The 22,678-nt window shown below is 36.5% G+C and overlaps 1 protein-coding gene across 22 annotated transcripts in view, besides 1 other annotated feature; it reads right to left on the bottom strand.

The window, feature by feature from the left end:
- The window catches only part of EED (embryonic ectoderm development), a 42,863-nt gene that overhangs the window by 16,952 nt on the left and 3,233 nt on the right, over positions 1–22,678 (bottom strand). For 6 of the 22 annotated variants that reach the window (NM_001440588.1, NM_001440595.1, NM_001440589.1 and 3 more), the window contains exons 2-10: positions 20,216–20,368; positions 18,424–18,516; positions 15,377–15,442; positions 14,152–14,277; positions 13,068–13,149; positions 6,401–6,492; positions 4,448–4,581; positions 2,103–2,208; positions 507–581 (exon numbers count right to left, since the gene is read on the bottom strand). In NM_001440588.1, coding sequence (NP_001427517.1) covers positions 507–581; positions 2,103–2,208; positions 4,448–4,581; positions 6,401–6,492; positions 13,068–13,149; positions 14,152–14,277; positions 15,377–15,442; positions 18,424–18,516; positions 20,216–20,368 — 927 coding nt within the window. Of the gene's footprint in view, positions 1–506; positions 582–2,102; positions 2,209–4,447; positions 4,582–6,400; positions 6,493–13,067; positions 13,150–14,151; positions 14,278–15,376; positions 15,443–18,423; positions 18,517–20,215; positions 20,369–21,103; positions 21,216–22,678 lie in introns of those variants that run through there. The other 16 variants (XM_017018512.3, NM_001440597.1, NM_001440586.1 and 13 more) reach the window with 11 other exon arrangements.
- Positions 14,449–14,498: an enhancer, noted in NCBI's record as "active region_5374". NCBI's record gives its function as "activates an Ori minimal core promoter by ATAC-STARR-seq in GM12878 lymphoblastoid cells {active_cell/tissue: GM12878}" and the evidence as "EXISTENCE:reporter gene assay evidence [ECO:0000049][PMID:35858748]".

Raw genomic sequence — 22,678 nt, 5'->3', positions numbered from 1 at the left:
AATGTAAAACATAGCAGTATAAAACTTTTACAAGAGAACACAGGAGAAAATCTTTAAGGTCTATAGCTTGGTAAGGAGTTCTCAGGCAAAACATCAAAAGCATAATCCATAAAATAATTTTAAAAAATCAATATACTGGATTTAATAAAAACTACAAACATTTGCTCTGTGAAAGACCCTATTAAAGAGGATGAAATGACAAGCTACAGACTGAAAGAAAATATTTGCAAACTATGTATCTGATACAGGATTCATATTTAGAATATATTCAAACTCTCAAAACTCAACAGTTAAAAAAAAAAAAAAAACACAACAAAAAACCAATCCAATTAGAAAATGAGCAAAAGATATGAAAAGACATCACCAAAAAGGATATACGAATGGTAAATAAGCACATGAAAAAGATGTTCAACATCACTAGCCATCAGGGAAATGCAAATTAAGACCACGATGAGATATCACTACACACCTATCAGAACAGCTAAAATAAAAAATAATGACAATACCAAATGCTGGCGAAGATTCGGAGACACTGGATCTCTCATACATTGCTGGTGGGAATGTAAAATGGCACGGCCACTCTGGAAAATAGTTTGGCAGTTTCTTAAAAAACTAAACAAACTTAACCACAACCCAGCAATTGCCCTCCTAGGCATTTACCCAGAGAAATGAAAACTTAAGTCCACACAAAAACCTGGACACAACTGCTGATTAGCAGCTTTATTTGCAATAGCCCAGAACTGGAAATGACCAAAACCTCCTACCATAGATAGTTACATAAACTATGGTAATCCATACCATGGAATACTACTCAGCAATAAAAAAGGAGAACTACTGATACAGGCAACAACCTGGATGGATCTCAAGGGTTTGAGTGGAAAAAAACAATCTTAAAAGGTCCCAAACTGTACCATTCTTGAAATGACAAAATTCACGTGATAAAATGACATAAAACTAAACACACACATTGTACCAGTGTCAATTTTCTGGATTTGATATTGTATTACAGTTATATAATATATAAACTTTGGATTCTGGATAAAGATCATATGGGACCTCTCTGCACAATCTTTGAAACATCCTATGAATCAAGTTATTTGAAGGTCAAAAGTTTAAAGAAAAAAGAAAAAAACAGTTTACACATAAAGCCAAGAAAAAAGTAAATCAGGCTCTGCCCAAGAAAATGTGAAGTGGCCTGAAATTCACATCAAGAAAAGAAACCGGACAGCAATTTCACCAAATTTGATAATCCTAAATGCTCATGTAACATCACCAATAGCTTCTCTAAATTATCAGCTACAAAAAAATACACAGACACACAAACACACACACACACACACCCAGATGGCCTTGACTTACAATGGTCTGATTTACAATTTTTCAACTTTACCAAAATGGTACAAAACAGCTGCAATTTTGAAGTACTTGGAATTTTGAATTTTGATCTTTTCCTGGGCTAGCAGTATGCAGTATGTGAGATATTCAATGCTTTATTATAAAACAGGCTTTGTGTTAGATAATTTTGCCCAACTGTAGGCTAATTCTGAGCACATTTAAGATAGGCTGGGCTAAGCTGATATTCAGTAGGTTATGTGTATTAAATGCGTTTTCAATTTATGATGGGTTTATCACGATGTAATCCCATCATAAGTTGAGGAGCATCTGTATAAATCCATCAACAGGGGCAGGGGTTGGCAAACTACAGCCCATAAGCCAACTCCAGCCACCTGTTTTTATAAATAAAATTTTACTAAAATAGTCACAGAGATACAAAAAAACAAAAGCCAATTCTGTTGGCTTTAGTTACTGGTTATCTTGTAACAATACTGACTATCAGAGAATACTATCACCTTATAAAACTATACTCATCTTACTGGAGCACAAAGAATTATAATTCAATGGCATGTTTTATTCTTAAAACAAGTTTCTAAATATATCAAAATATGAGACTTTAAAAAAGGCAACTTCCCAGCTGCCATTCAATTTAATAAACTACATAAAGTGCTCCCTGCCAAGTTCCAACATGCGCACACACATACACACACACACACACACACACACACACACACGATGGAAGTACAGCTTAACTGCAGTTACCATACCTTAGAAAGTATCAAATCGCCTAACCATCGCACACAATCAACATAATTCCTATGTATGTCTCTGGTAGAAAAATCAGGAAAATGGATTTTCTGAGAAATAAATGGCCTGAAGGAAGAATGGAAATGTAAAAAGTTAAAAGAAAAAATTATAGTAGAATCATACTCTTTTTCATTTTTGGATTTATAAAACTTGGAAAAACAAAATGTAAGACTATTAATTCCTCTGTGTTCCTACATAACCAACCACCTTATCTATTTATTGAAAGCTAAAGTCTCATTCCACTTTTGTTTATTTTTCTCCATTATTATCCAATTTTATCTTTGTCCTATGATAGATACTTTGTTTATAAACATTGTAGTTTCCTGCGTTTTACTATATATAACCCAAAATTAATCACCTCAATTCTGGGTACCCTAACCAATAATAAAGGCCTGATCAGTTTCTCACTGAAAATATACTAAGCTACCTACTCAGTCCTTAAAATTAAGCATTAATAATCTATGAAAGTCAATATATCTACACTATTTCAAAAGATAGTCATCTTTCCAGGAACAACTAAACATCATTCCAAAGTCTGCTAAAGATACATCTACAGTCCTGCCTTGAGCAATAATTTCTGAAAATGATGCCTTACAGGAATTTAAAATTTCTTAAGTGGGGGTGGGTGCGGTGGCTCCCAGCACTTTGGGAGGCCGAGGCAGGTGGATCATCTGAGGTCAGGAGTTCGAGACCACCCTAGCCAACATGGTGAAACCCCATCTCTACTAAAAATACAAAAAAAAAAAAAAAAAAAATTAGCCAGGCATGGTGGCGGCCGCCTGTAATCCAGCTACTTGGGAGGCTGAGGCAGGAGAATCGCTTGAACCTGCGAGGCAGAGGTTGCAGTGAGCCAAGATTGCACCACTGCACTCCAGCCTGGGAAACAAGAGCAAAACTCCGTCTCAAAAAAACAAATAGAACAAAATAAAATTTCCTAGGACTTTTCCAAATAATTTCTGTATTTAGGAAACTAAATGGCAACACTGTTTTCATTAGAGATATTTGTGAGAAGAAACAAAACAAGCTGCTATTAATTCTGGAGTTATTTAACAGTACACTTAACATTCCTAATATACTCAGTTTTAAATCAGAAATAGCTGTATAAGTATAATATGCCATGAATTAGTTGTCTTAGGCAATTCATATGTCCTCTCTTTACCTTTTCCCTCAGATATGTAAAAAAGCACTTTGGATTGGAGCAACTCAAAACAATCCTTCCAATTCAAATTCTGGGATATTTTGTTGAAACATTAAAATGTTATTCGTGATCTGATATAAATTCTTAACTCTGCTATAATTATATTAATTGCTTTTTAGCTAAATACATACTATAATTGTATGGCCAAACCTCTCTCAAAGAAAAAACGAGTACAACTGTTATTTTTTGAAAACTCTGAAATATAGTTTGTATTTATTCCAGATATCTAGAAAATAATCTAAAAATATAAATTTAACATTGTCCTACTAGCTCCTGGTGTTTTAAAGGAGAAAGGTAAAACTTTTAATAATTCTTAGAGGACACTTAGGTCTGATGAATGTTAGTGCATTGAAATATTTACTGATGCTTACAAATTTAATAATCTATTAACAATCTGGCTTGATAACCAGAAAATGAATTCTAGCTCTTTGCTAAAACAAAAGTGCCAACAAAGTTAACATGCAGACATACAACGTTTATAGTGAAAGTGTTAATGACAGCCTGATAAGATTCTAAAGACAGTTACTGCATTAAGAATTGAGACATTTCAAAAATATACTAAGAAAACTGCAAAATTCCCCAACCTATAGTACCATGAAGTGAGGCTCCTGCATTTGAATTCTCTCCATTTAATCAAGTGAGCATCATTTAGGGAAAAACATTATCATGAATTAGAGCTAAGAACTCCATTGTTTAAAACTGTGGTTTACCATCTTGAATTAGAATTAGCATCATTTAAAAAAAGTTAACATTATTCTAAAGTGTCCTTTACTCTCCCTAGTCCATAATAAGCTTAAGTGATTTAAAACTTTTACATTTATAACTTAAAAGGCCAAGCATATGCATACCAAAATACAAATAAGTAAAATGTGCTACTAAGTTAAGATGACAACACAATTTAAAGGGGATTTTGAAAACTAAGCCACAAACACTGCAAATAAAGGACTTCTTAAAGGGGTGAATTTTACAGTATGTAAATTGTCCCTTAAAGTTAAAAGAAGGTCTTCTAAACTCATTGTTGGGGCTTATATAGCAATTTTGGGAAAAAATAAAACTTATATTCAATAGCACAACATAGCAAATTGTTTCAAATACCACAACTGTTACCTGTTAGTTTTATTTGGATTATAATCATAAGATTCCTTAATTGCATTCATCATTCTCTTTGAATTGATCCTCCAAAGTTTAAGAGAATGATCCATACCACAGGACATTATTTTTTCACCCAAAAGATCATAATCCTGTATGCAAAACCAAAAAGTTTTATATAAATTACAGCTCCAAATTATATTTATCCAATTTTTGCCTAATGTGCAACATAGTGAAAACTGTATTTCAAATCACAATACAAACTACATTTTGGGTTTCATCTAAATAGGCCATAAATCAGAGTTTACTACTTTCAAGATTTACAGCTTTAATTAGTTTGTCAACATCGGAATATAAGAGCATTTACAATGTATAAACCAAGAAAAAATTACTTAAACTTAGTTTTATCTATTCAATTACACTAAAATATTTATTTTGCTTATTTTGAAGGTAAATTGAATACTAAGTTAAAATAATTATTCTGACACAAAGAGCTGAATAGTGATATTACTTTTCCTATCCAACCTCAACCAACCAATGAAACTGACATGTGCATGTGAAAATACATGAATCCTTAAAGAGCTGACATCTTACTTTATAATTCTAAGTCAAAATATTTTGAAGTTAGTTTTAGAGTTCACTTTTAAGTGAATTTTTAAAAGTCTAATAAAAAACAGATTTTAACTTTTTTCATTTGCTGTTTACTAATTTTTAACAGGCATGTAACAGATCATCTATTGTAACAACCTCATTTCATAGGCAGACACTAAGGCCCAGAGATGCTATTTAATTTAGCAAAAGGCACATAATGAGTAATGAAAATCTCACACACCTATCCACCTCCAGTGAACTCCTGTATTACACAGAAGAGCTACATACTGTCTCCTGCTCTCATTCTAAGAAATAACAGTAGAGAGTTCTATTGAAGGAGTATATTTTCCTTACTAACCTAGATACTATATGTTAATCCAGCCTTTGCATTAATTATGAGCACCATTTTATAAGAGCCTAAGAACTTTAGGCTTGATGTTTATTGAATTCACAGTTGTGGTACTTCTAATTACCTCACTGTCAACAGCAACAAGACATCCTTCGAGACAATACCACTAATTTGGAGTTATTAATAAAGAACAGTTCACTTGGCTTTTACACACATAAAGCCAGACGTAGAATGCTACTGCAACTTTTAGGAAATCCAAGTTGACAAGGTATTCGAAGGAAGGTATGATTCTCACAAAGGAATCCAAACTTCAACATAGGAATATTTTAGTACCTTCAACTAAAATGTTACATGCTGTAAAATATGGTGCCCCTTTACATAGTTTAATGGAAAACAACCTAAGAGATGTGAAATTACTACAGGAATCAAATGAGCTAAATATGGAACATAAGCAAAAATAATGTTAAAATCTGAAACCTAACTAAAAACACTTGTATAATGGACCAATGGATTACAATACATCAATATAAAGGTGGTATTTATCTTTAAACTGGTCTTGTATTATACCACGCCACCCAAAGAGAATGGCTAGAAATAAGTTACCTAAAACAGTGTGAGCACAATAAAACACTTCCAAATAGCAAAAAACGTTATGTTTCAACTTCAAACAAAAGATGGAAAAGCACTTTAATGGCTACATAGTTTAATTTTTTTCTTTAATAACTGCGAAATGGCAAAACAAACATTAACTTAGTGATTTTAGATTAAAAGGAAAGGAGCAAGATCATACTGCTCTCATAAGACTCCAGGGATTGGTATACAGTGCAAGTAATTTAAAAAATAAATAAATAAATATAGTCTTTACTTGTTTTATTCCTTCATCTGGAGATTAAAATCTTCTATGTCAAATGTAAGTGAATGTCTGCCTGACAGGCTACATGAAACACACTTTCTTATAAGGAAACAGTTCCATGGAGACTGTTCACAGCTATGTAAACCTGAAAGTCATTGCCCTGCAGTTTCCAACTTACAGCACTTAGAACTTCATCTCTGTGCCCTTCTACGCCTCCAAATATTGCCACCAGAGTGTCCGTCTGGATATTCCATAATCGTAAAGCATGATCTAGTATAAACATACAAAAATTAGGCGAATGTTTTTTATTTACTGTGAACTTTCAACATCTTGTGAAAGAAAAACTACTAAAGTCTAGATGTAAGTTATGCACAGTAAAGCCTAAAAATGGAATCCATATTACATAGCAACTTAAAATGTTTACATCAGATGTAGAATTAGCTAGGTAAGTGCTATAGTTTGAATAGGCCCCCCCAAAAGCATGTGCTAGAAACTCAATCCCCAATGCAATAGTGGTGTGAGCTGGGGCCTAATGGGAGGTATTTAGGTCATGGGGGCTCCATCCTCACAAATGGATTAATACTGATTATAAAAGGGCCTGAGGCTATAAATTCAATCTCTTGCTCCCTCACACCCTCTCCTGCCCTTTTGCTGAGACGATTCAGCATGAAGGCTCTCACCAGATGCCGGCACCATGTTCTTGGACTTCCCAGTCTCCAGAAACAGGAGCCAAATAAATTTTTGTTCATTATAAATCACCCAGTCAGGTACGGTGGCTCATGCTTGTAACCCCAGCACTTCAGAAGGCCAAGATGGGAGGACTGCTTAAGCCCAGGAGTTTGAGACTAGCCCTAGCAATATAGCAAGACCCTGTCTCAACAAAAAATTTAAAAATTAGTGAAGCCTGAGCAATAGAAAAGAAATTAATTAATCCATCAGTCAGTCACCTAGTCTGTGGTATTGTGTTATAGCAGCACAAAATGGACTCAGACAGAATGTTGGTACTCAGAAACGGGACTATTGCTATAAATACCTGAAAATGTGGAAATGACTTTGGAACTGGGTAACGAGGAGAGGCTGGAAGAATCTGGAGGAGCAGGCTAGAAAAAGCCTATATTGGTGTGAGTGGAGCATTGAGGGTAATTCCAGTGAGGGCTGAAAAGAAGACAAGAGCTTCAGGCAGAGCCTTTATCTTCTTAAGGATTACTTAAGTGGTTGTGATCAGAATGTTGGTAGAACAATGTTGGTCTCAGACAGAATGAGGTTGGTCTCATTCAGTGAGGTCTCAGACAGAAATGAGAAGTTATTGGAAAATGGAGTAAGAGCTATCCCTGTTGGCAGGGTGTGATGGTTCATGCCTGTAATCCCAGCACTTTGAGATTGAGGCAGGAGGATCACTTGAGGCCAGGAATTCAAGACCAGCCGGGGTAACATAGTGAGACCCAATCCCTACAGAAAATAAATTAGCCAGGTGTGGTGGCGTGTACCTGCAGTTCTAGCTACTTAGGGGACTGAGGCAAGAGGATCAATTGAGCCTAGGAGTTTTGGGCTGCAGTGAGCTATGATCATGCCACTGCACTGCCTGGGTGACAGAGACCAACCCTGTCTTTAAAAGAAAAAAAAAAAAAGCCAGGCCAGGTGTGGTAGCTCATGCCTGTAATTCCAGCAGCATGGGAGGCTGAGGTGGGTGGACACTTGAGCTCAGGAATTCGAGACTAGCCTGGGCAACATGGTGAAACTCCATCTCTACAAAAAATACAAAAACTAGCGGGGTGTGGTGGCATGTGCCTGTAGTCCCAGCTACTCGGGAGGCTGAAGTGGAAGGATCACTGGCATGGTGCCGGCATCCGGTGAGGGCCTTCATGCTGAATCGTCTCACAGCAAAAGGGAAGGAGAGGGTGTGAGGGAGCAGAGGTTGTGCCACTGCACTCCAGCCTGGGTGACAAGAATGAGACCTTGCCTCAAAAAAATAAATTAAATAAATAAATAAAAGCCATCCTTGCAATACAGTTGTGAAGAACTTAGCAGGACTGTGTCCATGCCCTAGGACTTTGTGGAAGGCAGAAGTTAAGAGCAATGAATCCAATACCTGGCAGAAGAAATATCTGAGCATCAAAGCATTCACAGTGATGCATGGCTTCTTCTGGCTGCTTATCATAAAATGAGAAATGATCTAAAGGTGAAATTTGTAATTAAAAAGGAAAGCAAAACAGAAACATTTATAAACTCTCAGCCTGGCCATGTAAAGAAAAAAAAAGCAGGCTGGGTGTGGTGGCTCACACCTGTAATCCCAACACTTTCGAAGGCTGAGGTGGAAGGATCATTTGAGCCCAGAAGTTCAAGACCAGCCTGGGCAACATAGCAAGTCCTTGTCTCTTCAAAAAATATATAAAATAAAAAAGCATGTTTGAGAGAGAATATTAAGGATGTAGCTAAGTGACTAATTGCTAAGGAGATTAATAGGGAAGAGAAGGCAGGTTCTATTCACCAAGACAATGGGATAATGACCACAAAGGCATTTCAGAGATCTTCAAGACATAGCTAAGACCTTGAGGGCAAGGTTTCCAGAGTAGCACCCATGGGACCTCTACATTCACTGTCCAGGGCCACTTCAGCACTTTGCTCCCCCTATTCCAAGGCAGTGCTCTTTGGTCACCCCATAGCTTGAAGGGGCTCAAGTATGGCTCAGGCCATAGCTTCTGAAGGTACAAGCAGCAAATCTTGGCAGTGTCCATGTGGTGTTAAGTCTGCAGATGCAGAGAATGCAGGAACTGTGGAGGCACGGCTTCCTCTCTAGATTTCAAAAGACATCACAAAGAGCCTGGGGCTCCAGGCAGAAACTTTTCAGAAGGGCAGAGCCACACAGCAGTTCCTACTACAGCAACACCTGGTGGAGCCATGGGGAAAAAGCCATCCCCCAAATCCCAGAACTGCTGAGCTACCAGGGCACACCACCAGCCTGCAAGAGCTGCAGGCACCCGACTCCAACTCATAAGATGCTATGTGGGCTGCACGTGGCAAACCCATAAAGATGGGGCTGCCCAAGGCCTCTGGGGCCCAAACTCCACACCCAGCATGCCCAGAAGGCAAAACATGGAGCCAAGGAAGATTATTCTGGTGCCTTGGATTTAATCTTGTTTGTTCTGTTGAGTTTTGGATTTACTTGGGACCAGTTACCCTTATTCTTGCCTATCTCTCCTTTTTGGAAGGGACTGTCTATCCTATGCTTATCCTACCACTGTATTTTGAAAATAGATAAGATGCCTGATTTCCCAGACCCACAGATGGAGAATTTACCTCAGCAGGAATCCTGCCTTGAGTCTCACCCATATCTGATTGAGGATTTGAATTTTGGGGGCTAGAGGCAGAATGCTACAGCTTAAATGAACCCCCGAAAAAGCAGGTTGGGAAACTTAATCCCAATGCAGCAGTGTTGGGAGATGAGACCTAATGAGAAGCGTTAGGTCATGAGAGTACCACTCTTATGAATGAATTAATTCCAATTATATATTAAAAAAAAAAAAGGCTTCAAGTTCAATTTCTTGTTCTTACTTTCTAATGCCAGGTTAAAGTGGACTAAGACAGTAAGTTCAGAAATATTCATGTGGTCTGAAAAATATTTTAAGCATATTTATCTCAAATAACTTTCTTTAAATAACCTAATTTGATGGAAATATACTTTTGAAATAAAATACAGATTTGACATAAGCAATTTTATCCCACAGAACAAGATACTAGCTTTTCCCTTCACCATACTCACATTAAAAAATTGAAAGGGGACTGAGATTTATGATTTTTACAGTAAGCTGAAAACATAACTACATATATCATGCACAATTTTATAGAATGACAGTCCCTCTTCAAAAATTATGCAGCTATAATTTGAGCAATGTTATATTAAACATTAATAAAGAATGTACAGCAGTAGCTCACACCTGTAATCCCAGCACTTTGGGAGGCCAAGGTGTGAGGATCTTTTGAGGCCAGGAGTTTGAGACCAGGTTGGACAACATAATGAAACCGTATCTCTACAAAAAATTTTTAAAAATTAGCCAGGCATGGTGGTGTGCACATGTAGTCCCAGCTACTCAGAAGGATGAGGTGGGAACATTGCTTGAGGCCAGGAGCTCAAGCTACAGTGAGCTGTGATCACATCACTCTACTATAGCCTGGTTGACAGAGTGAGATCCTGTCTCTAAAACAGTATTTAAAAAAAAGAAAGAATGTAAAGCAAAGACACGTCATGTAAGCTTGAAATATAACAATGTTCATTCTGTCTGTGAATATAAATGCATCACATAAACACCCCAGAGGTAGTAATACATGTGAAAATTAACAGTGCTGTAAAAATGATTCCTTGATTTCAATTTTGTACAAGCTTTTGTATGGACATGTTATTTCTGTTGGGGATACATATGTACACCCCCACCCACACAACCCTAGGATATACATACATATGTAAACATCTAGGATTAGTGACTCTGTAACATTTTGAGGAACTGCCAGATTGTTTTTCAAAGTAGTTACATTTTACATTCCCACCAGCAGTGTCTGAGAGGGCTCTGATTTCTTCTTGTGCCAGTCAATACTTGTTAGTATCTAACGTTTTTATTACAGCCACCCTAAGTAGGTGTGAAGTGGTATTTCATTATGGTTTTGATTTGTATTTCCTTAATGATTAATATGTTAAACATCTTTTCATGTGCTCAGTGGCCATCTGTGTATGCTCTGTGAAGAAATGTCATTCAGAACTTTTGGCCATTTTTAAATTGGGCTGTCTTTTTATTGTTGAGCTATAAAAATTCTTGATACACGTCCCTTATTAGCTGGGAATCATGGCTCATGCCTGTAATCCCAGCAGTTTAGGAGGCCAAGGTAGGAGGACTGCTTGAGGCCAGGAGTTTGAGGACCAGTCTAGGTAACACAGGGAGACCTCATCTCTACAAAAACATTTTTTACAAAATTAGCCAGGTATGGCGGCACGTGCCTGTAGTCCTAACTACTTGGTAGGTTGAGGCTACAGTGAGCCATGATCACACCACTGCACTCAACCTGGGTGACTGGGCAAGACCCTGTCTCCAAAAACAAAAAATAAAAATCAAAGTCCTTTATCAGAATGATTTATAAATATTTTTTCTCCTTTTGAGTAGGCTTTTTTACTTTCTTGATAGTATCACTTGGAGCAAAATTCTTATTCATGCTCAAACTTCTGATTTTTAAAAATGCTCTTACTGACACAATAGAGGAAGACCAGGGTTAAAAGTTGTGATGTTGGGCTGTGCGCAGTGGCTCACGCCTATAATCCCAGCACTTTGGGAGGCCGATGCGGGTGGACCACCTGAGGTCAGGAGTTTGAGACCAGCCTGGCCAACATGGAGAAACCTCATCTCTACTAAAAATAAAAAAAATTAGCCAGGCATGGTGGAGGGCGCCTGTAATCCCAGCTACTCGGGAGGGTCAGGCAGGAGAATCACCTGAACCCAGGAGGCAGAGGTTGCAGTGAGCCGAGATAGAGCCATTGCACTCCAGCCTGGGCGCCAAAGCAAGACTCTGTCTCAAAAATAAATAAATAAATAAATAAATAGAGGCAGGACGCAGTGGCTCACACCTGTAATCTCAGCACTTTAGGAGGCTGAGACAGGCGGATCAACTGAGGTCAGGAGTTCAAGACCAGCCTGACCCATGTGGAGAAACCGTATCTCTACTAAAAATACAAAAATTAGCCGGGCATGGTGGTACATGCCTGTAATCCCAGCTACTCGAGAGGCTGAGGCAGGAGAATCTCTTAAACCCGGGAGGCAGAGGTTGCAGTCAGCCGAGATTGCACCATTGCGCTCCAGCCTCCGCAACAAGAGCGAAACTTTGTCTCAAAAAAAAAAAAAAAAACCAAAAAACAAAGAAAAGAGAAAAAAAAAGTTGTAATATTTAGAACAAGTGAGGCATTACGGTCTATACAGTTGTTCAGAAATATCTGAGCCCCAATTAGTGTTATCAAGAGACAAGAAAAAGTAATCAACTCTTCCTAGAGGTAGTGATTTCCAAAATGCAATGCTTTCCCTTTATGGGAATATTTCAAATAACTTATCCTGAAAAACGTAGCATTTTTAAGAAATTCTATAGGAAATCCTTTATAAAACAAAAGCTTTTTTAAAAAATAAAAAAGCAATATGAATTTTCATATGTAGTATTTATTATTACATGATTGGACAAAATGATTTGGATATGCTAACATAGCCTGGGATTTTCCTACTAAAATGTACTGTTATAACCTTTTTTTTAATTTGGCTTTATTTCCTTAGAACACTATCTGTCCATACACTGGGGCCTACTGGAGGGTAGAGGGTGGGAGGAGTAAGAAGATCAGGAAAAATAACTAACAGATACTAGACTTAAAATAAAACAGGACCTGTCAACCTAAGTAACAGAGAGGCTCTCTAAAATAAAAGATGTTTATATGGAAATAATGCACTGCAATGAGAATGTACATGCCAAAGTAAACTATGTGTGTTCTCCGAGACGTAAAGGAAAGACAGAGGTTTTTAAAGAAAAAAATGAGAAGGATTACATAATTGTTTTGAAATAAGATTGGCCACAAAATCAGTAACAAGGGTGATGCCAGTCTCAGGATGGAGAGGCACTTACTGCCAGTATTTTCTGTGTAAGGCTGTGATGGCCTTTGTGCAAGGTTGTGGTTGTGTTTTTTTGTGAGTTTTTATTATCAGACATACAAGCATGTGGACTCTCTTCTCATGGTTTTTCCTATTTGTCAGGGTTTTCTTGACATTAGTGACTCCATCTTAATTCTGACAAATTGCACAGACTCAAGAAACATTTGCTTCACTTACCTTTACTTACTGACAGGAGAAGATTTGGATCTCTTGGATGGAATTTCAGCTCATTGATAGCATTTCCATGGCCAACATAGTGCTACAATAAATTTAAAACATTTCAAGTTTCCTATCTCAAAATCAGTAAATTTTTTTTCATAAATCTTTAGAGAATGTAAAAATAGTTTCACTTAAAGTAGTGGTTCTCAACCTTGGCTGCATACTAAAATCACCCAACAAACTTGAGGTGAAAAGGAAAAAAAAAAAAAAAAAAGACCCCAGGCACAGTGGGTGGCTCATGTTTTTAATCCAAGCACTTTGGAAAGCTAAGGCAGAATCGCTTGAGGTCAGGAGTTCAAGACCAGTCAGAGCAATGCAGCAAGACCCTATCTTCATACACACACACACACACACACACACACACACACAAATTAAAAATTGGCCCCAGCTACTTGAGAGGCTGAGGCAGGAGGATCGCTTGAGCCCAGGAGACGGGCTGCAGTGAGCTATAATCATGCTACTACATTCCAGCCCGGGCAAAGGAGTCAGAATCTGTCTCAGAACAAAAAAAAAAAAAGATGCTCAAAACTCCACCTGCAGATATTCTGATCGGATTAGCGGAGGCTCCAATATGCGTAGGGTTTTAAGCATCCTCAGGAGAGTGTGATGTAGCCCAACAGTTAAAAACAGGTGATGAAAGTGATTTGAAAAACCCGTCTTCTTATCAACTTCCTAGGCTTCACCTTTATGTTCGTTACAAGGTCCCTTTGATAACACCCCTCCAGTTTAGGTGTCTTGGAAAATGGACTCCCTCTTATTGTTCATTTAGAGCCTCTCAAAGTAAACCATGACAAGGGTGAAAGAGGGAAATGATTTAAAAAGAAAGCACTACAAATATTAACATTTTCCCACTTATTCCTTAATTTACATTACCCAAATGTGACAAACGTCTCAAAAGACTCATCCAAAGAGAGCAGTAAGAAAAGTACAAATCAAATGAGAAATGTTACATTCATACCATTAGTTTTAAATTTAACATTACAAGTTTTTACAGTTGTGGATTCAAAAGAAGCAGATCTACAATTTAACCAGAAAAACCCACCTTTATACACTGCATTGTTATAGGATTTATTATCCTAATTATGCCTCTAGATCCAGCTACAGCCAGCAGAGGATGGCTCGTATTGCTATCATAGGTCCATGCACAAGTGTAAAAGTTTTCATCAGCCTAAGAAATTCCACAGTTAAGAAACATAATGTTTTTGAAAAAGAAACATGTCAATAATTATAATAGAAACTTATAAAGAACTGCTAAAGTTTTTGACACCAAAGTTCTCAATTTTCCTTATACAACCAAATATATACAATGGTGATTTGAGGTCTAAAATCCATAACAAATGATCAAACAAAATTACAGTCTCTCCACTCAATTTTGTTTACTCTTTAGCTGCTTGTACAACTACTCAACTCTGTAGTTGCAGTACCAAAATAACTGCAGAAAATATACAAATGAATGGGCATGGTTGTGTTCAAAACAAAACTTTACAAAAACAGGTGACCAACCTGCACGCTGTAGTTTAACCTCTGCTCTATCCCCATACCTCTATAAATATCTAAAAAAGAACAATTCAGTTTTCCACTTTTTTCTTTGTGAGACAGTCTCAATACAACAACAGGTCACATTTCAATATCTTTTAGAGAAGACTGAATGTCCTTGCCTTGTCTTGTTTGCTAGGTTTTTCAAATGGATCTGGAAGAAATATCTTATTACTTAGCTTTTACCGCTCTAACTCGGGCTTTTCAAATTTTTCTGTTTCTTTATGAACCTGTTTTGCAATTTTTATTTCCTATTTTATTTTATTTTTATATATTTTATTTTTCCTAAACTTTTTTTTTCTTCCTAGGCTTCGTTGATCAAATACTTAGAATGACTACCAGTCACAAGCCAAGTTCATCATTATAACTACAATGAAATGATATATTCTAGGCAAGGTCAAAGAAAAAGGAGGTTTTAATCAGTCTTTGCTAATATTTTCTATTACTAGATTTCTAATGCTCCTATCTCTATAGACATCTGCACCCAACCAGCACATCCATCCCACAATGGATTCTTTTCTTTTTCTTTTTGCCTAGCTGAGTTGACACATACCACAATGGATTTCTAAGGGTCAGGAAAACTAGATACAGGATTCTCTTGGGTGATAGTGAAGAAATCGGTTAAGAAAGAACAATAACTTTAGGGAAATGATTAATTTATAAAAGTTTTGGTGCACTTATTGAAAATAAATTCCTTTGACTAAAGATATTAAAAACCCAGGAAAGGATACATCAGCATCCACGTAAGATTGCAACAACCGGATTTCTCCTTGTGAATGACATTCATACAAGGTAACCTAATGAAAATAAAAATACAGTAAATTTCATCTCAAGTATAGAAAACATACTCTCTCCAACTTTTAAACATATTTTAATCGCAATCCTATCTTAAATATACTACAGAAACTACTGCCTTAAAATACCTCCTGTGAGCTTAAAGAAGCCATTATAAAGCTGAATGTTTTACATAATACACAGAGCATATTAAATATTGCAGTAATAGTCGTTTCGATTTCCAATCTTTTAAACTTATATTTCATCCATTCAATTGCCTAGGCAACATAGCAAAACCCCATCTCTATTAAAAAATAAATATTAGGCCGGGCACGGTGGCTCACGCCTGTAATCCCAGCATTTTGGGAGGCCAAGGCATGCGGATCATGAGGTCAAGAGATCAAGACCATCCTGGCCAATATGGTGAAACCCTGTCTCTACCAAAAATACAAAAATTAGCTGAGCGTGGTGGCACATGCCCGTAATCCCAGCTACTCAGGAGGCTGAGGCTGGTGAATCACTTGAACCCGGGAGGCGGAGGTTGCAGTGAGCCGAGATTGCACCATTGCACTCCAGCCTGGCAACAAAAGCGAAACTCTGTCTCAAAAAAAAATAAAATAAAATAAGTCCGGACACAGTGGCTCATGTCTTTAATCCCAGCACTTTGGGAGGCCGAGGCGGGTGGATCACGAGGTCAGGAGATCAAGACCATCCTGGCTAACACGGTGGAACCCCGTCTCTACTAAAAATACAAAAATTAGGTGGGTGTGGTGGCATGTGCCTGTAGTCCCAGCTACTCAGGAGGCTGAGACAGGAGAATCGCTAGAACCCAGGAGGCAGAAGTTGCAGTGAGCCAAGATTGCACCACTGCACTCCAGCCTGGGCAACAGAGAGAGACTCAGTCTCAAAAAAAAAAAAAAACCATAAAAAATAAAAATTCAAATAAAAATAAGTCTTTGGATAGTTTTGGAGTATTTACATATTAGTTACATATTTAAAAGTCTACAATTTGCTTAATGAATTATTTTCTCATGGGTACAGATAATCAAACATTAACTTTCACATGTATGATAGCCTTTTTCATTTGTTGCATACTCTAAAATTAAAACTATACATACACCATACACAATTTTGTAATACTAAACTTTTATAAATTTCTTTCCATTTTCTTTTTTTTTTTTTTTTTTTTTTTTTTTGAGACAGAGTTTCACTCTTGTCGTCCAGACTGGAGTGCAATGGCATGATCTTGGCTCACTGCAACCTCTGCCTCCCGGATTCCAGTGATCCTCCTGCCTCAGCCTCCCGTGTAGCTGAGATTACAGGCACTCGCTATCATGCCCAGCTAATTTTTGTGTTTTTAGTAGAGACAGGGTTTCACCACGTTGGTCAGGCTGGTCTCGAACTCCTGAGTTCAGGTGATCCACCTGCCTCAGCCTCCCAAAATGCTGGGATTACAGGCGTGAGCCACTGTGCCCGGCCCCATTTTTCTTATAGCTTATAGTCAGTCACATTAGCAAAAACCTATTATTATTTTATAATAGTACTGAAGACCTCTGAAGATCCTGTGTATCATCACAACCTATTAATTCATTATCTCCTCTATGTTAATGTTCAAAAAAAATTCTTTATATGGCTGCTAACTAGGTTATGTCTTATGTGGTAATTGTTTTTGTTTTCTTTCTTCCTTTTAAAGAAATTCTAACAGCAGAACTTTTTATAATTCAATAAACTATATGACACCCCTTTATGTCACTTTAAATAAAAATAGGGATTCTTTTTGTTAGAAAACCTAAAACACTGCAATCAGCACACTGGAGCACAAACTATACCAATTATAATACTATCAAAGCTAAATATTAACTTAGGTTTACAGTGGTGTCTTAAAAGTGGACTCAAATTTAATTAATGCACTACATTCCCAACTAGGAAAAAAATAACCTCAACCTTTTCTTAAAACCGCAAAATTTTTCCTCTGAATTGTTGTTTTCAAAGAATCTAGGAACTAAACAACTATAAGCAGACTACATTATCTTAAAACCTACATTTGACTAAACACCAAAAACAGAAGAAAAAAAGCTATTATTTCATGTTATCAACTTCAGTGGTAACTTAAAAATATTTAGAGTTTCAATGAATTGACCTTGTCAAATAGTAAAAGGCCTAGAGCCTTACATGTCATTATAAAATTTCCTTAAAAGGCTGGACATGGTGGCTCATGACTGCAACCCCAGCTCTTTGGGAGGCCAAGGCAGGTAGATTGCTTGAGCCCAAGAGTTCAAGACCAGCATGGGCAACACGGTGAAAACCTATCCCTACAAAAAAAATTAGCCAGGGATGGTAGTGCATGCCTGTAGCTACTCAGAAGGCTGACATGGGAGGATCACCTGAGCCCCAGAAGTTGAGGCTGCAGTAAGCCTTGATTAACCACTGCACTCCATCCTGGAGGAAGGAGTAAGACTCTCTCTCTCTCAAAAACAAACAACAACAACAACAACAACAATCACCACCAAACACTACCTGTCTCAAAACAAAAAAACCCAGCAAACTCAAATGTTTACTGCAAGTAATTAAAACATCTCAATAACTTATTTAAATCCACTGGATTTATGCTTCATTTATAGAGCCATTCATTACCTTAATTTTAAAAAAATCACAGCCAGTTCTTACGCTATTTGAATGATAAATACCAAAATCACTTTAAAAAGAACGCCAATTAAAAAAAAAAAAAAAGGACGCCAATTCTTTCAACCAAGTATTTATGAAGACAAATACAAGTATAAAACCTGTTTCATAAATAATTAGGGGTAATATATTAAATATAGATGTATTTTCAGCCATGCATACTAGTTTTAATTAATTTCTAGAAACCTTCACTCTTACATGAAAGAATCATATTGCTAAACCAGCTTCACAAAATGCACTTTGAAATTATTCTATTTCAATATTACATTAACACCAGATCTGGAAATCAAGCCAAATACTAAATAGACCCCTTAACACTCACTCTGTTGCTTCCTACAGTTGCAAACACTAATGGATCTCCTTCTTTACTGTGCCAGTTAAACTGAACTCCAAACAATGGTTGGTTATGATCTTCCTATAAAATAATCATGAAATAAGAAAAGATTAATGTATCTTACAAACCAGAAAATGACAGTAAACTAACCTATCCCCTTCTTTTTTCCAAAATGCAATACATTATTTTGTGTATCATACATAAGCTAACTTTTGACACTAAAATTAAAAGATGTCTACTAGTCTAGTTTTCACATTTTAAAATATTGTGTATGATAAAGTTTTATCACAACCAAAGGCTGAAATCACAAGTTAGGTAATAACCGCTTACCTACGAAAACACTTATAATATTTGCCTTTTTCTTAATAAGCCAATCATATTCTGAATCACAATAAACTGGATAATTTTGGTGGATACAAAAGGACACAATTTATTTTTCTGAAACAGGAAATTAACAGATGGCCTTAATAGCTTCTCTGGCATTCACTAAATTTTATAAGGCTAAATTTTTCCCTTGTAAAGTGAAGCATAGCAGACTCCATTCAAATCACTGTTTTCTGTTAGTCAGAATGAGAATATCTGAACACTGGGGACTAGGGGAAGAAATAAACTGTAACTGCACAGTTACCAGGAGGCTATAGGAGATGTACAAAGAACAATTATGCACTTTTGTTCACAAAGTTATTTTTCAGCTTTAGGATTTTACTGGCCAACTTCTGGCATTTAACACTGACTTTCAGATGCAGTTTAAGGCACTGTTTTCACTTTTAAAGTACGTCTTTCGTTTTCTCATCATTTGAAAAGCCACAGCTTTAGGATTTTGAAATACTGCCTTAAGTATAAAAGGCAGCTAAAAACATCTTCCAGGTACAGTACCTAAAAGTAGTACGTTAATGTAAATAAATATGCACATGAAACTATAATTGACTTTTAAAAAATATGCTGAGATTAATTTCTCTCCTTTTACAGGAGCAAAATCTGACACACTGAGCATCGAATTTTTGCTACACAGACAGAAAAATGTCATAGTCATAGCTTCTTATGCTTTCCCAAAACTTTACTTATAAAAAATATATTTGGATATTTAGAAAAGGTTTTAACTTACATATGTATGAGATAATACACATTTTTCCTCAGTATAGAAAAAAATAGCCTCACATTTAAAAAACAAACTGGACATATATAAAAGAAAATATCTTAAACACCAGTAACCCCTTTTATAAAGTAAATAAAAATACTATTGGGGACAGATTAATTTAAATAACCAAAACCCCCTTTTCCCTAAATATTTAATATTAAAAAGTTTAAAAATTTTTTACACCTTTTTCTTTGAAAACAGTTATAAATAAAACAAAGGACAGAAACTGTACAAAGTAAAACATCTGTTTCAATTTATACTTAGTCAAAGTTAATGGGTTACATTCAGTTCTTTTTAAAAACTGATGCCAGAAGTGGCTTATGTTTTTTAAGTTTTACTAAAATATAAAGAGTAATAGTTACCCAAATCTTATAATTTGAATGCAAACAATAAAGCAAAAACATCCTGCAACACTGTCACATATTTAAATTAAAACAACAAAAAACAAAACCAAAAAACTAAACATGGGATGGACTAAAATAGATACGCAGTCTGAACTACAAAAAAAAAAACCCTTCAGAAAACATTGTAACTTTAAAATATTTACAACTTGACAGAGTATCCTGAGTACGAAATGCGTGCCACAGAGAAATAATTTCTGAAGCCTAGCATTCAGCCCAAAGGATCTTTTTTTGCACATACCTTGAGACTATTTACACATTTGAAAGAATATTTGCATTTCTTTGACTTCCATTTTCCCTTTCCCCAACTTTTCCTTCCAGGTGCATTTGGCGTGTTTGTAGGTGTATCAGGGCGTTCAGTGTTTGTACCACTTTCTATACTGACAGCGTCATCCTGTAAGCAGTAAATGAGGAAAAATTACATGAAACAGCAATACTGTTTTTAGCAGTAAATAACTCTACTGGGAAGATGCTGACTGACCTAAGAGAAATAATTTCTACAAGAAGAAAAAAATGTATTCTTGCCTCCACATAAGGATAAACATAATCCAGCTACAGGTTAGAAGGTTTGTAGATATTTTATATTTCAACAAAAATGAAAATGAAATAAATACTAATGAGAATAATGGAAGAGTAATACTGTCTTTAATAAGGCACTGGTCTGTTCCAGTCACTTTAATACACTGTATCAGTGAATCTTTACAGCTCTTTACAAAAGGTACTGGAAGTGCTGAAAAAGCCTAACTGGTCTCTTGGCTGGTAATTCCATCCCAAAGCTGTGACTCTTAAATCTGACTGATGTATATGTCTTCATAATGTATTTGACTGCTGCTCAGTCTGGAGCATGGAGCTGGGGAGCCGTTTGAAGCAGGAGTGTTAATGGCTTCTACATTAGATGTCACTTTTTAAAATCCTGTTATTCAAATTCTGCTTATAACGCAAAACATTTAGAATTTTTTTAAAGTGCTACATATATTCTATGCTATTTACAAGTTAAAACTGTCTCATTGTTCTAAAGTAATAATACTCATAAATCAGAACTCCAGAGACTCTCAATCACAATTAAAGTAAATCCTTCCAAAAAAAAGAAATGACTGCAGGAAACCTTGAAAATTCTCCTAATTCATACCTTATCTCACACACGAGTGGCCCTCTAATCTCAGCTCTCTAATCTCAGAAGAGGATTCCACTACCTCCTGATTACAGATTCCAATGTCTCCTTTGGAAAGAAAAGATTTATTTAATCTAGGATCTTAGGGCAGCAGTTCTAAAATACATTCCAGAGGAAGCCTTTTTTTTTTTTTTTTTCCATGAAATGCCTATTAAACAGCCTAGGAAACACTGCTTTAGGGGCTATTTTTAAATTATTGCTTCCTAAAGTTGGTTTTATATAGAAGGTTAAAAAATATCATAAATGAAATAATAGGCGGGTAGCAAGCAGTACGTACTCAACAAATATTTGAATTGTAATTTAATGTGAATATCATTAGTCTTTACAGAAATAGAAAATGTGGTATTTTAATCTCTTTTTCTCTCCACCTTTTCAGTTGTATTCACATAATTAACATCAAACGTAGAAAACAATTCTGTATCTCAGTGGAAAACTATGCATTATCTATATAGCACATCCTTCCAAGTTACCAGACTATAGCCCTCCACTATGTCTTTGAGCTATCTTACAACTCTTTTTTGAGACAGGCTCTCCCTCTGTCACCCACTCTGTCCTTGGTTCAACGCAACCTCCACCTCCCAGACTCAAGTGATCTTCCCCCCACCTTAGCCTCCTGAGTAGCTGGGACAACAGGAGCTGGCCACCACACCCAGCTAATTTTTGGTAGAGACAGAGTTTCACGATGTCGCCCAGGCTGGTCTCAAACTCCTGGACTCAAAGGATCCTCCCACCTCAGCCACCTAAAGTGCTGGGATTACAGGTGTGAGCCACTGCGCCCAGCCACAACTCTTTTTTCATTATGAATAACTGATAGACATGTAAATTTTGTCTCTACAGTAGAGGTTCAAAATGTCTTCCCTTCCACTCAAGGGAAAAAAAAGTTTCTGTCTCCATTTGGAATTCATCTCTCCATTCCTTTACTCCATATATTAATAAATTTGTACTGTTTTGATTTTGCGGGTTAACCATTACTGTATAACATTTGCCTGGTTCCCTCTGAGTAAAAGTTTCAACATGTGTTCACTTGCCATTTTTTCTGTAAAATTACCTTTTAACACTAGAGAACTGAAATTTTAAAAACTCTAAGACGTTTTTATATATCAGTTTCTTTACATTCTGGCTAAACACTGAGCTGCCAATACAGAGGCCACACAAAACATTCGTTAATAGGGCACGTTGCTTATTTTACTTCTGATCACTTAATTTACCCATCTCCTCCCAAGGCAAATCAAGATGGAATCAAATGAAAATGTAATACAGCCACCATGCTTCCATTTTATCTTTAAACTAAAATCAAGTCTTTGCTGAGTGTCTAATATATGTACAGGGTGACCTCCATCCTATTCCATTCTCAAAGTAAAGAATGATACTGTGCAACAGACATGGTACTACCATCTTCACTTGCCCAACGAGGAAAGAGACACAGGGCAGTAATTTGCACCTGCATCTTGCCACAGGGATTCCCTGCATCTTTGCTTTTGCTTAAGCAAAAAGACAAGTCTCCAGATTCAGCCCTCTGATCTTACTACCAAG

This window comes from Homo sapiens, chromosome 11, assembly GCF_000001405.40.
Source record: "Homo sapiens chromosome 11, GRCh38.p14 Primary Assembly".
Lineage (NCBI taxonomy): Eukaryota > Metazoa > Chordata > Mammalia > Primates > Hominidae > Homo > Homo sapiens.
The sequence above is the reverse complement of the archived record's forward strand: the minus strand, read 5'-3'. Positions and strand labels throughout refer to the sequence as shown.